The following is a 12,771-nucleotide window of genomic DNA, read 5'->3' as shown; positions in this document are numbered from 1 at the left end:
ATAAATAACTTAATTTGTTTCGTTAAGAAGTGGGAAGGAATGCACGGAATTGGAAAGAAATGTGGCATTAGTAGAGGCTGGGGTTAGGGTCCAGTAAGCAGGGCAGGTGTTCTTTGTAAGGTAGAATGGGACTGAGCTGAGTGGAATAGTACTTCCTCCTTAAAGTTACGGAATTAACAGTACTACATCGCTTCTCTGGAGTGCAAAGAGAAAGAGGAGAAAGATCCCTTTTGGAAAAGTGCTTCTATCCCAGTGCACTGCCATCTCCCCTGTATTCCAAACTAAAAACTTTTGGGTCCGTAAGTCTTATCTTTTTTTTTTTTTGAGCCGGAGGCTCGCTCCCTGTTGCCCAGGCTGCAGTGCAATGGCGCGTTGTCGGCTCACTGCAACCCCCGCCTCCAGGGTTCAAGGAGTTCTGCCTCAGCTTCCCGAGGAGCGGGGATTATAGATACGCACCACTACGCCCAGCTAATTTTTGTATTTTTAGTAGAGATGGGGTTTCACCATGTTGGTCAGGCCGGTCTTGAACTCCTGACCTCAAGTGAGTCATCCGCCTCGGTCTCCCAAAGTGCTGAGATTACAGGCGTGAGCCACCGTGCCTGGCCTCTAAAATTTTTTTAAAAATTATTTTTATAATAGAGATACGATATCTTCTCCAGCCTGGTCTTGAGCTCCTGGGCTCAACTAGTCCTCCTGCCTCAGCCGCCTAACTATTTGGGACATCAGGTGCATGCCATCGTGCCTGGTGTATGTTTAGCATGCATGAGTACTTCATTCCTTTTTGTGGCTGAATAATCCACTGTATGGACATACCACATATTTTGTTTATCCATTCATCAGTATGTGGGTATTTGGGTTGTTGCCACCTTTGGCACTTGTGAGCCACCGCACTTGGCTGACAGTGTCTTCTGAAGCAAAAAAGTTTTAAATATTGCTGATGTCCAATTTATCTATATTTTTCTTTTGTTGCTTATGCTTTTGGTGTCATATCTAAGAAACCATTGCCAAATCCAAGATCATGAAGGTTTACTCCTATGTTTTCTTCCAAGAGTTTTATAGTTTTAGCTCTTACATGTAGGTCTTTAATCCATTTTGAGTTAATTTTTGTATAGAATGTGGGATAGGAGGCTGGGCGCTGTGGCTCACGCCTGTAATCTTAACACTTTGGGAGGCTGAGGTGGGAGGATCACTTGGGGTCAGGAGTTCGAGACCCCATCTCTACTGAAAAAAAAATTAGTCAGGTGTGGTGGCGGGCACCTGTAACCCCAGCTACTCAGGTGGCTGAGGCAGGAGAATCACTTGAACCCGGGAGGAGGAGGTTGCAGTGAGCTGAGATGGCACTGTTGCATCTAGCCTGGGGGACAGAGCGAGCTGTCTCAAAATCACAACATCAAAAAGAATGTGGGATAGGAGTTCAACTTTATTCTTTTTTTTTTTTTTTTTTGTTAGACAGAGTCTTGCTCTGTTGCCCGGGCTGGAATGATGCCTGGCTAATTTTTAAAAAATTTTTTATAGAGACAGGGTTTTACCATGTTGGCCAGGCTGGTCTCAAACTCCTGGCCTCAAGTGATCCGCCCACCCTGGCCTCCCAAAGTGCTGGGATACAGATGTGAGCCACCACGCCCGGCCTCAGCTTTTTGGTGGACTGCCTCCTAACTGCATTGTCTCTGGTTTGGTTCGTGTCCCAACTCCTCCATCTTCCTTAAAGCCAGCTTTCAGTAAACAGACATGTTTTACCTTGAGCAACATGAATTTGATTGTCACTTTCATGCTTAAAACCCCTCTATATCTTCTTGTATTATTCAGCAGTAAATATTTTCCTCCTATATGATAGATACGGGCAATTCAAACATGAATAGAATGCTACAGTGCCGTAGTTGCCCAGTAAAGGTTCATATCTGATGATTATAAATACAGTTACAGTATACAGGTGGTTCCCATAAAATGTGTACAGCCTTTATATATTAATATAGCTATCAATTAAGCCTAGAGAGACAAGTATTAGTTGCTCTAAAACAGCTGTAAATCAATGCCCACCACCCCTCATACAAAGTATGATATTTGATGTTGCACCTAACTTTGTACTAATGCAGGCATCAGCTCACTGATACTATAAATTCTTTAGTGGTACGTAATGTTATTACTAGTAGTGAATGTTTGAGTTACGGATTATGATCTGAGTTAGTGGTTAACATCCTGTATGAAAAGATAGGATTTGCATAACTGAAATAATTTAACTGACTTCATGAGTGAGGGTTTTTCTTTTTGTTTATAGGTTTTGGGCTGGAGGATAGTTGCAAGTATTGTTTGGTCAGTGCTATTTCTACCCATCTGCACCACAGTATTTATAATTTTCAGCAGGATTGATTTGTTTCATCCTATACAGTGGCTGTCTGGTAGGTGATACTCAACTTGGGGAGAAAGTTATAGGACCTACTTCTCAACATAAAAATTGCATTATGTTTCAAGCAGTTTATTTTCAATTACTGCCTATGTTATATTGACACATCAAAACATTCACTTTGAGATAATTTTAAGATGTCTCCTTCGTAACATAAATCACCTTTTTATTATGTAATAAGATTAATAAGCTTGTCAAAGACTGTGATCATAGGAACGAAAAGATCATTAGAAGACCCCATAAATGAAAACTTAGTTTCATTTGTTTTTCCTTTGGGCAGCTTTATTGAGATTGTTTGTCTCTTTAAAATACAGAATGGTTCCTGTCATCGATTCGAAATTGTGGGTAGAAAATATGACATGTACCTCTTTTAAAAATACGTCTAAAATTAAGAGCACTTGATTTCTTTTTTTGAAACAGAGTCTTGCTCTGTCACCCAGGCTGAGTGCAGTGGCTCAGTCTTGGCTCACTGCAACCTCTGCTTCCCATCTTCAAGCAATTCTTGTGCCTCAGCACGCGCCACCACGCCCGGCTGATTTTTGTATTTTTAGTAGATACGGGGTTTTGCCACGTTACCCAGGCTGGTCTTGAGCTCCTGACTTCAAGCAATCCACCTGCCTCAGCCTCCCGAAGTGCTGGGATTACAGGTGTGAGCCACCGCACCTGGCCTAAAATGTTCCTTAAATTCCTTAGAGACTAAGTAAAATTACTAAATGTATTAAAATTAACTTGTTTTCTGTTAATAACTACCCATTATTGCCTGTTTACCGTGTGCCAGCTCCTTACATATATTACTTCTTATCCTTCCTGTAACTCTGTGTAGTTAAGAGGTACTTTCTACTTTATAAATGGGATAACTGAGATTCAGGTTAAATAATCCATGCAGAGACACCCAGCTAGTGAGTAACTGATTTAGGATTGAAAATTGGTCTTTCTTTTGCCTTGTAAAGTGGGAAGTTGAGTTTTTAATTTCGTTTTTCACAAGAAAATGCCAGTTTTCAAGGAGTTGGACTCTTTACCCATGACCTTTGGAGATATTGGTGTTAAGTTTCTTGTTGACGTACGTCCATCACTTTTTCGATAGGTCCCACTGGTCAGGTGAAATTAAGCCATAAGCCAGCACAGGCATAGCAAATATTTCTATAGCCACCTTACCTGTGTCTGCTTCACTCACTGATCATGGCTCTCTGGTGGCAACCTTAGAGTACTCAATCTTGTATTTGAGAGCCATTACCAATTGTTCACAATTGGCACTGGGGACAAAAACTTTTTGCCATTTCATGGCCAGAGGTTTTTTAATCCTCATCACACTTTCTCTGCAGGTTGGATTTGATTTATGCCATTTTCCTCATCAGAAGCTTGGGTTTAATTGTAGATGCTTAGTAAATATTCCTCATTAATTTAGGTCAATGGGCCGAGTGTGGTGGCTCACCCCTGTAATCCCAGCACTTTGGGAGGCTGAGGCGGGCGGATTGCCTGAGCTCAGGAGTTTATGACCAGCCTGGGTGTGGTGGCATGCACCTGTAGTCCCAGCTACTCGGGAGGCTGAGGCAGGAGAATTGCTTAAAGGGGGAGTGGGGGGTGGAGGCTGCAGTGAGCTGAGATCACGCCACTTCACTCCAGCCTGGGTGACAGAGTGAGACTCCATCTCAAAAAAAAAAAAAATTTAGGTCAATGAATTGTACTTTTAAAAATAAGTGGTTAATTTTTAAGTCTTAGCAAACATGCTCTTATTTTTATTTCATTCATATTTTTAGGCATTATATATATATATTTTAAACTTTGAGATGGAATATCGATTGTTGAACTACTCTAAAATGTGAATGTATTAGTATTTCATGGGGGCATCCTGATTTTTTTGTTTTTGAGTTCCGCTCGTTTAGATGATGTAATGTATGGCTTATTCTATTTCCAAAAATGTTACTTTAGCTATATGAGGTAATTGCATTTATGAAGAAGAGATCTGAAAAGTATTCTTTATATTTTAAGAAAAAACTTTGTTGGTATATTACTAAAGATGATACTTCTCTTTCACATGATTAAATATTTGCATATGCGTGGCTGGGTGTGATGGCTCATACCTGTAATCCCAGCATTTTGGGAGGCCGAGGTGGGTGAATTACTTGAGGTCAGGAGTTTGAGACCAGCCTTGACAACATAGTGAGAACCCAAAAAATAGCCATGGCGGGCATCTGTAATCCCAGCTACTGGAAGGCTGAGGCAGGAGAATTGCTTGAACCCAGGAGGCGGATTGCAGTGAGCCAAGATTGAGCCACTACACTCCAGCCTGGGCAACAGAGCAATACTCTGTCTTGAAAGAAAGAAAGACAGAGAAAAGAAAGAAAGAAAGTTTTGCCATGTTCTAGTGTTTTGTCTGATGTTAACTGGGTCATTTAAGAAATTGTAGTATAATTTTAAAGTACCTGGGGCCAGGTACGAATAACTCACACTGTAACTCCTTTTTTCTCCCCCCCTTTGTTTTTGAAACAAGGTCTTTCTCTGTTGCCTAGGCTGGAGTGCAGTGGCATGATCACTGCTCACTGCAGCCTCAAACTCCCAGGCTCAAGTGATCTTCCCACTTCAGCCTCCTGAGTAGCTGGAGACTGCAGGTGTGCACCACCACACCTGGCTATCTTTGTATTTTTGTAGAGATAGGGTTTTGTCATGTGCCCAGGATGGTCTTGAGCTCCCTGGCTTAGTGATCCCCCCATGCCCAGCCCACACTGTAGTTCTTGAGTTGATATCTCATTGAACCTGTCAGTGGTGTACAATTAAATTCTTGAAGAAAAGATAACCTTTAAAATTAATGACAATTGTGGTTCAAGCTCTTTTTATATTGCAGTGTCCTGAACGTGACTACATGACTGAATAACCTTTACTAATTCATCTCTCTTGTGTTTTAGATTCTTTCAGTGACCTGTATAGTTCCTATGTAATCTTTTACTTCCTGCTGCTGTCAGTGGTAATAATAATAATAAGTATTTTCAATGTGGAGTTCTATGCAGGTGAGTTTTCAAATGTTAACCTTCTTAGAAATATGCGAATTTATTTAACTAAGGGAAGACTTAGTACATTTTATATGTGAATGTGTTTTGTGTCAAAAATTTAAAAACGTATACAGAATCATATGCTTCAAATGTTGTACCTTAAAATTTATTTGGGTGCTAGTTTCTGTTTTAAAAATATTTTTAGACTTTTTAGGACAAATATTATATGATTCTACTTATACGAGGTATCTGGAGTACTCAAATTCATAGAGAAAGAAAGTAGAATGCTGGTTACCAGGCGCTGGGGGAGGGGGAGTGGAGAATTGCTGTTTAATGGGTAGAGTTGTGGAAGATGGAAAAGTTTGGGAGCTGGATGGTGGTAGTGGTTATACAACAATATGAGTGTACTTATGCCGCAGAACTGTGTACTTAAAAATGGTTCGAATAGTGAATTTTATTATTTTACCACAATAAAAAAATTTAGACCTTTTAATAGTTCATAACTAGTATTAAAGCTGTGATTTAGCAGATACATTATGAAAAGAATTCCTTTATAGGGAAGACCAGGTGATTTCTAAGTTTTTTTTTCAAATATAATAATCTATAATACTGTGATTAAAAAAAAACTTATGTTTTGCCTTGGAGAATCACCTGCTGGATTCCAGAGCTTTTAATTTTTCTGTTTCTCTTCATATTCTTTCTGCCTTTTCAGATTCCTTGAGACTGCCTTTAAGATACAAGTTGTGGCAGATTCACATAAGGAAAAAAAGATACAATAAGAAGCTTTTCCTGACTCTTATTTTTTTACTATAACATCATTTTCCTTTTTTTTTTTTGAGACAGAGTCTCGCTCTGTCGCCAGGCTAGAGTGCAGTGGTGCGATCTCAGCTTACTGCAATCTCTGCCTCCTGGGTTCAAGTGATTCTCCTGCCTCAGCCTCCGGAGTAGCTGGGATTACAGGCACGCGCCACCACGCCCGGCTAATTTTTGTATTTTTAGAAGAGAGGGGGTTTCACCATGTTGGCCAGGATGGTCTTGATCTCTTGACCTTGTGATCTGCCCTCGGCCTCCCAAGTGCTGGGATTACAGGCGTGAGCCACTGCACCCAGCCCATTTTCCTTTTTTTAAACTTAAAAAAAATTTTTTAAATGTACATGTTCCATATGTGCTAACATGTCTAAACCTTAAATTAGTTTATCATAATGTCATGTTTTAGATTTTACATTTCATTGATTATATGAATATTCTGTTTATTTATTTATTTTATTATTATTATCATTTTTGAGACGGAGTCTTGCTCTGTCGCCCAGGCTGGAGTGCAGTGGCGCGATTTCGGCTCACTGCAAGCTCTGCCTCCTAGGTTCACGCCGTTCTCCCGCCTCAGCCTCCCAAGTAGCTGGGACTACAGGCACCCGCCACCATGCCTGGCTAATTTTGTTTTTGTATTTTTAGTAGAGACGGGGTTTCACCATGTTAGCCAGGATGGTCTCAATCTCCTCACCTCGTGATCGGCCTGCCTTGGCCTTCCAAAGTGCTGGAATTACAGGCATGAGCCACCATGCTTGGCCTATTTATTATTTTTTTTGAGAGAAACAGATGCGGTAGGATCATAGAATACTCAGACCGGGAGGAATTTTTTTTTTTTGAGACGGAGTTTCACTCTTGTTGCCCAGGCTGGAGTGCAATGGCGTGATCTCGGCTCACCGCAACCTCTGCCTCCCGGTTTCAAGCGATTCTCCTACCTCAGCCTCCTGAGTAGCTGGGATTACAGGCAGGCACCACCACACCTGGCTAATTTTTTCTATTTTTAGTAGAGATGGGATTTCTCCATGTTGGTCAGGCAGGTCTCAAACTCCTGACCTCAGGTGATCGGCCTGCCTCGGCCTTCCAAAGTGTTGGGATTACAAGCATGAGCCACCGCGCCCAGCCTACATCATTTGCCTTTTTAGTTCTTCAACACTTCCTTGTAAAATCTGGCGTAAAATTTCAAATTCTGACTTTGGATGTTACAATACGTATCCTTTTCCCTTGCTTGCTTTCTGTTTTTGGTCTCCAAGATGGAGTCCAGCTTTGTCGCCCAGGCTGGAGTGCAGTGGCACGATCTCGGCTCACTGCAACCTCCACCTCCCAGGTGCAAGCAATTCTCCTGCCTCAGCCGCCTGAGTAGCTGGGATTACAGGCGTATGCCACCATGCCTGGCTAATTTTTGTATTTTTAGTAGAGACGGGGTTTCACCATGTTGGTCAGGCTGGTCTCGAACTCCCGACCTCAAGTGATCCGCTTGCCTTGACCTCCCAAAGTGCTGTGATTACAGGTGTGAGCCACTGGGCCCAGCCTCGCTTTCTTTCTTTTTTTTTGAGATGGAGTCTCACTCTGTTGCCCAGGCTGGAGTGCAGTGGTATGGTCTTGGCTCGCTGACGCCTCTGCCTCCCGGGTTCAAGTGATTCTCCTGCCTCAACCTCCTGAGTAGCTGGGATTACAGTTGCCTGCCACCTCGCCCGTCTATTTTTTGTATTTTTAGTAGAGGTGGGGTTTCACCATATTGGCCAGGCTGGTCTCAAACTCCTGAACTCATGATCTGCCCACCTTGGCCTCCCAAAGTGCTGGGATTACAGGCATGAGCCACTGCACTCAGCCTGCTTTCTTAATTCCTCACTATTGACTAGTAAGCTTTTTCCATGCAAGCCCTATTCGAAACTCCTTGGCTTACAGCCACACTTAAACAGAGTGTTCTTTCATACTCTCCCATATGCTTGGGTCATCTTCTGTATGTAATATGTCAGTTGAGGGGTCCCCAGCCAGTCCTTCTTAAAGCCTGACTATTCACTTTGGCTCATTCCTTCAGTAACCATCCCTTATGCATTTACTATATGCCATGCATTGTGTGGAGAGAAAAGAGAAATGATAGGTCCCATCTTTCTCCAGAGATCGTGATTAATGGAGAGACAGTAAACATGAAGCATATTTGATTACAGTACATTGGATGGTAAGAGCTTGTATAGGAGCACCACTTGCCCCAGCATGGGGGAACTTGAGGAGATGATCCTTAAACCAAGCCTTGCAGGATGAGTTGAATTAAGTAGACAAAGAAGGAAAATGATGTTCTAGAGAGAAGGTATAGCATATAAAAAGGCTTAGTGACATGAGAGGGTTTGGTATATTTAGAGTGTTATAAGTTAGTTGCACAGTCAGTAGGACCTTGTGGGCATTTCTGGTTGGGAGGGAGAGGTCATAGGAACCTCTTCCTCAAAGTATAAAGCACCTGAAACTTGTCCCTTCATACTTAATTTTCTACCTCCTGCCATCTCTTTACTTTGAGTATAGTAAGAGCAAAATACCTACATAGATAGATCAGGGAACCCTAGGCTAGCTGTTTCCAAAGGTAAACATCCCTCATGTCCTACCCATAGTTGCCTCCCTAGCTCATTTGCAGAAAATGTTTTTGGATTGTCTGAAGGGTATTAAAAATCCCTATATAAGCATTTATCTTAGCATTTATGTTGTCAGTATTTACCTACTTTATGGTTTATTTTTCGTAAGTGGATTATATATTGACAGTTTCAAATGCTGATGGCAGGAGTTCTTTTTAAAAAGTAGGCCAGGCATGGTGGCTCGTGCCTGTAATCCCAACACTTTGGGAGGCCAAGGTGGGTGGATCACCTGAGGTCAGGAGTTTGAGACCAGCCTGACCAACATGGTGAAACCCCATCTCTACTAAAAATACAAAAACTAGCCAGGCATGGTGGCAGGCACCGGTAATCCCAGCTACTTGGGAGGCTGAGGCAGGAGAATCGCTTGAATCCAGGAGGCAGAGGTTGCAGTGAGCCAAGATTGCGCCACTGCACTCCAGCCTGGGCAACAAGAGCGAAACTCCGTCTCAAAAATAAATAAAATAAAATAAAATAAAATAAATAAATAAATAAATAAAAAGTCAGTATTCAGGAGCTGAACCCAGTCACTCTCCCACACTGCAAGACCATTACAGTAGTCCATATATGAAAAAAAAAATCATTATTCTTTTATGGTGCTTAGGAGAATACTAGGATAGGCACTATTGGAACTATTAGGAAATTTTAATGAAAAATGTTGATCATGCTGTCCTTAGGTTTCATCTCTAGATTCTTTGGGTTTTTTTGTGTCTGTTTATTCATGCTTTCCTCAAATTTTTTTAACTTAGAATTTTTAACTTTAAATTTTTCTGTATTGTATTTGCGTTGACTGTGGATTTCTCTCTGCCTTTGGAACATTTGTGCAAGGATGAGAGGGGATAGTTTAGATCCTCTAACTGCATATGCTGTAGGTTATAAAGCCACAGTAATGTGTTTCCTTTGCAGTTGTGCCTTCTATTCCTTGCTCCAGACTAGCTCTGATAGGGAAGATCATTCATCCTCAGCAACTCATGCACTCATTTATTCATGCTGCAATGGGAATGGTGATGGCCTGGTGTGCTGCAGTGATAACCCAGGGCCAGTACAGCTTTCTTGTGGTTCCCTGCACTGGTACTAACAGGTAATATTAAATATATATTTCCTTAGGAATCTCATTTACTTACTAAGCCAAAGGTGACCTATATAGGTTAATCCTATGAGTATTCTTTGCTTTCCAGACTTCTGCAAAAGGTGCTTTTTGCATATATCAAGTGTTTTTAATATTTTGTGTTTATTGATTTCAGCAATTAAAAAAATTTATTATGTGCAAGGTGCTATGCGATTTATGAGAGTGACTCAAACATAGACTATAAGCTCTTTGAGAGTTGAGAACAATAGAGAAATTAAGACATGGATGCAGAGGGATGTAATAGGATGAAGAAAGTGAGATGTGCAGACAAAACCTGTGGAGGTTCAGAAAACAAGAGGGATCCACACATGTTCTTGGAAGAGGTAGCATTTGGTTGGAGTTTGAAGGAAGGGTAGTATGGAAAGAATGAAGAAAAATTTTTAAAAATTATAACTGCCTTTTTATAGAGTGCTTTTATAATTTTGAAACTTGTATAGTTCTTGAACACATGGCATTGATACTAATTGCAAATTGATATTCTGACTTTAAAAATTAAAAAAGATTACTGGAAGCCAGGAGTGGTGGCATGTGCCTGTAGTCCCACTGCTTGGCAGGCTGAGGCAGGAGGATCCCTTGAGCTCAGGAATTAGAGGCTGCAGTGCCCTATGATTATGCCTGTGAATAGCTCCTGCACTCCAGCCTGGGCAGCATAGTGAGACCTTGTTTTTTTTTTTTTTTTTTTTAAACAAAGATGATTGGAGTGATCTTAAGTTCTCTATTTTCCACTGACTTTAAAACAGTGTTACATTATTACTACTGAATACTTGATTTTCTTTTTGCCTCCAGCTACTATTATATAAGGCAGGTTGTTTTTTCCCCCTTAATATCATAGGCTTTCTTTGGTAAAAACTGTCCTGTTGGTAAACATTAAATGATAAAAGACTGTGAGTACAGGACTACTATGAAAAAGGAAATCCCAAGTGCTCACCATGGATGAGTCTTGAATTCCTTTTTGCACTTCTCTTCCTAATGGAGGTGGCAGTGAAGTTCCAGGGAGCAGAAGGCAGCAGTAAGCTACAAGTTGTTGAAGACATTATAATGCCTATTACAAATATATTTCCTGATGATTTCACAGTCAGAATCTTTAACAAAACTAATCTTCATCATTTTGTAACTCGGAGTTCAGATAACAGTTAACCTTGAGTCTTACCTCTCATGGAGTTAGATGGTGGGGCAGGCCTACAACCTGTGTGCCTCTATTAAAAATTGAGTTCTACTGAATTTTGATGTTGGCTCTGTATACCCCCAGATATCTCATAGATCATAGAGATTCTCAAGAAACTCTCAAAGGAGTTTGAGAGCTTGTTGTTTACCAAATAGATCTTATGCTTATAATTAAAGCTATTGTAAAATGATAGGGTAGTGGCTTAAAGCAGTGTCCAGCAGGGGGATCCTCTTAGATTTGGGAAGCATCAGGAGTTCCTCTTCAGCAGGAGTCCTTCAGGCAGTTCAAACAGATGATAAGTCCCATAGCCACCTGGGAGCTGCAGTCTTGTCTGTGGATACCACTCAGCTACAAGGAGGAAAAAAAATCGGTATCGGACATGTATGGGACTCTATCTGCTTTAAAGGCCTTGTGCCCCACAAAATCCAGTAGCATCTCTTGTAGCAATTTTATGGGCACAGGATCCCCGTGAGGGAATACTCAGTTTTAAAGAGATAACACAAACCCAATGTTATGGCATCTCTATCAGGTATATATAACTTATTTACAGTTGCTGTCAGCCCAGACACTTGTAAGCAATACTGCTTGTTATTATGGTAGATATACTTAATCATGTCAGATTTCCAGGGGAACAGAGGTAGAATTAATTAAAGATCAGAGTCTCATGATTCAGGAAAAAAGGTTTTGTTAATCTTGTTCACACTTACTGAAAACGAGCCATCTTGTTAGAATTTGGGACATTTCTTAAGTCATTAAAGTAATTAAGCTTTGCCTTCAGTAAACATTGAGCCTAAAACAGTGATACATGTCCCTGACTGTTGAATTAATAACTTAATTTTTTCCCTTCAGCTTTGGTAGCCCTGCTGCGCAAACCTGCTTAAATGAATATCATCTTTTTTTCCTACTGACTGGAGCATTTATGGGCTATAGCTATAGCCTCCTGTATTTTGTTAACAACATGAACTATCTTCCATTTCCCATCATACAGGTAAGATCATTTGAGCATTACTTGATGTCAAAATTTGGCTGAGGTAAAATTGCCTTGGTGCATATGTATATAACTGGATTTATCTGATTCATTCAAGATTTGATAACCAACACTTAGAACTGAAATCCTCAAAATGCCATTTAGCGAGAAGAGATTTGTCTTCATGAGACTTAAGCATATTTTTGAGAGTTGCAGCTACCTTTTCCTGTTGCCAATCTCAGAATACCTCTTTGCTACACTGTTTCCCTCCCTGCTAGGTAGTGGCACTTGCTGTGACCCAGCAGGGTTTGGGGAAGATGATGATGACATTCATGCAAAGTACTCTGTGTAGCTTCTTTTTTTTTGGAGACAGTCTCGCTTCTTTGCCCAGGCTGGAGTGCAATGGCGCAATCTCGGCTCACTGCAACCTCCGCCTCCTGGGTTCAAGCAATTCTCCTGCCTCAGCCTCCACATGCCATCACGCCCAGTTCATTTTTGTGTTTTTAGTAGTGACGGGGTTTCACCATATTGGCCAGGGTGGTCTTGAACTCCTGACCTCAAGTAATCCCCCCACCTCAGCCTCCCAAAGTGCTGGAATTACAGGCATGAGCCACCACGCCCAGCCGCTGCTCTTTTTTTCTTTTTTGAGACAGAGTCTCACTCTGTCACCCAGGCTGGAGTGCAGTGGCGTGGT

General features: G+C 41.2%; 1 protein-coding gene across 4 annotated transcripts in view; it reads left to right on the top strand.

Moving 5' to 3' along the window:
- NDC1 (NDC1 transmembrane nucleoporin) overlaps window positions 1-12,771 on the top strand; it is a 72,819-nt gene that overhangs the window by 401 nt on the left and 59,647 nt on the right. For 2 of the 4 annotated variants that reach the window (NM_018087.5, XM_011541766.3), the window contains exons 2-5: window positions 2,276-2,396; window positions 5,305-5,406; window positions 9,723-9,897; window positions 11,960-12,098. In NM_018087.5, the coding sequence (NP_060557.3) occupies window positions 2,276-2,396; window positions 5,305-5,406; window positions 9,723-9,897; window positions 11,960-12,098 (537 nt within the window). The remainder of the gene's footprint in view (window positions 1-2,275; window positions 2,397-5,304; window positions 5,407-9,722; window positions 9,898-11,959; window positions 12,099-12,771) is intronic. The other 2 variants (NM_001168551.2, NR_033142.2) reach the window with 2 other exon arrangements.

This window comes from Homo sapiens, chromosome 1 (assembly GCF_000001405.40).
Source record: "Homo sapiens chromosome 1, GRCh38.p14 Primary Assembly".
NCBI classification, from domain to species: Eukaryota; Metazoa; Chordata; class Mammalia; order Primates; family Hominidae; genus Homo; species Homo sapiens.
Note: the sequence above shows the minus strand (reverse complement) of the source record. Positions and strands in the feature narration are given on the sequence as shown.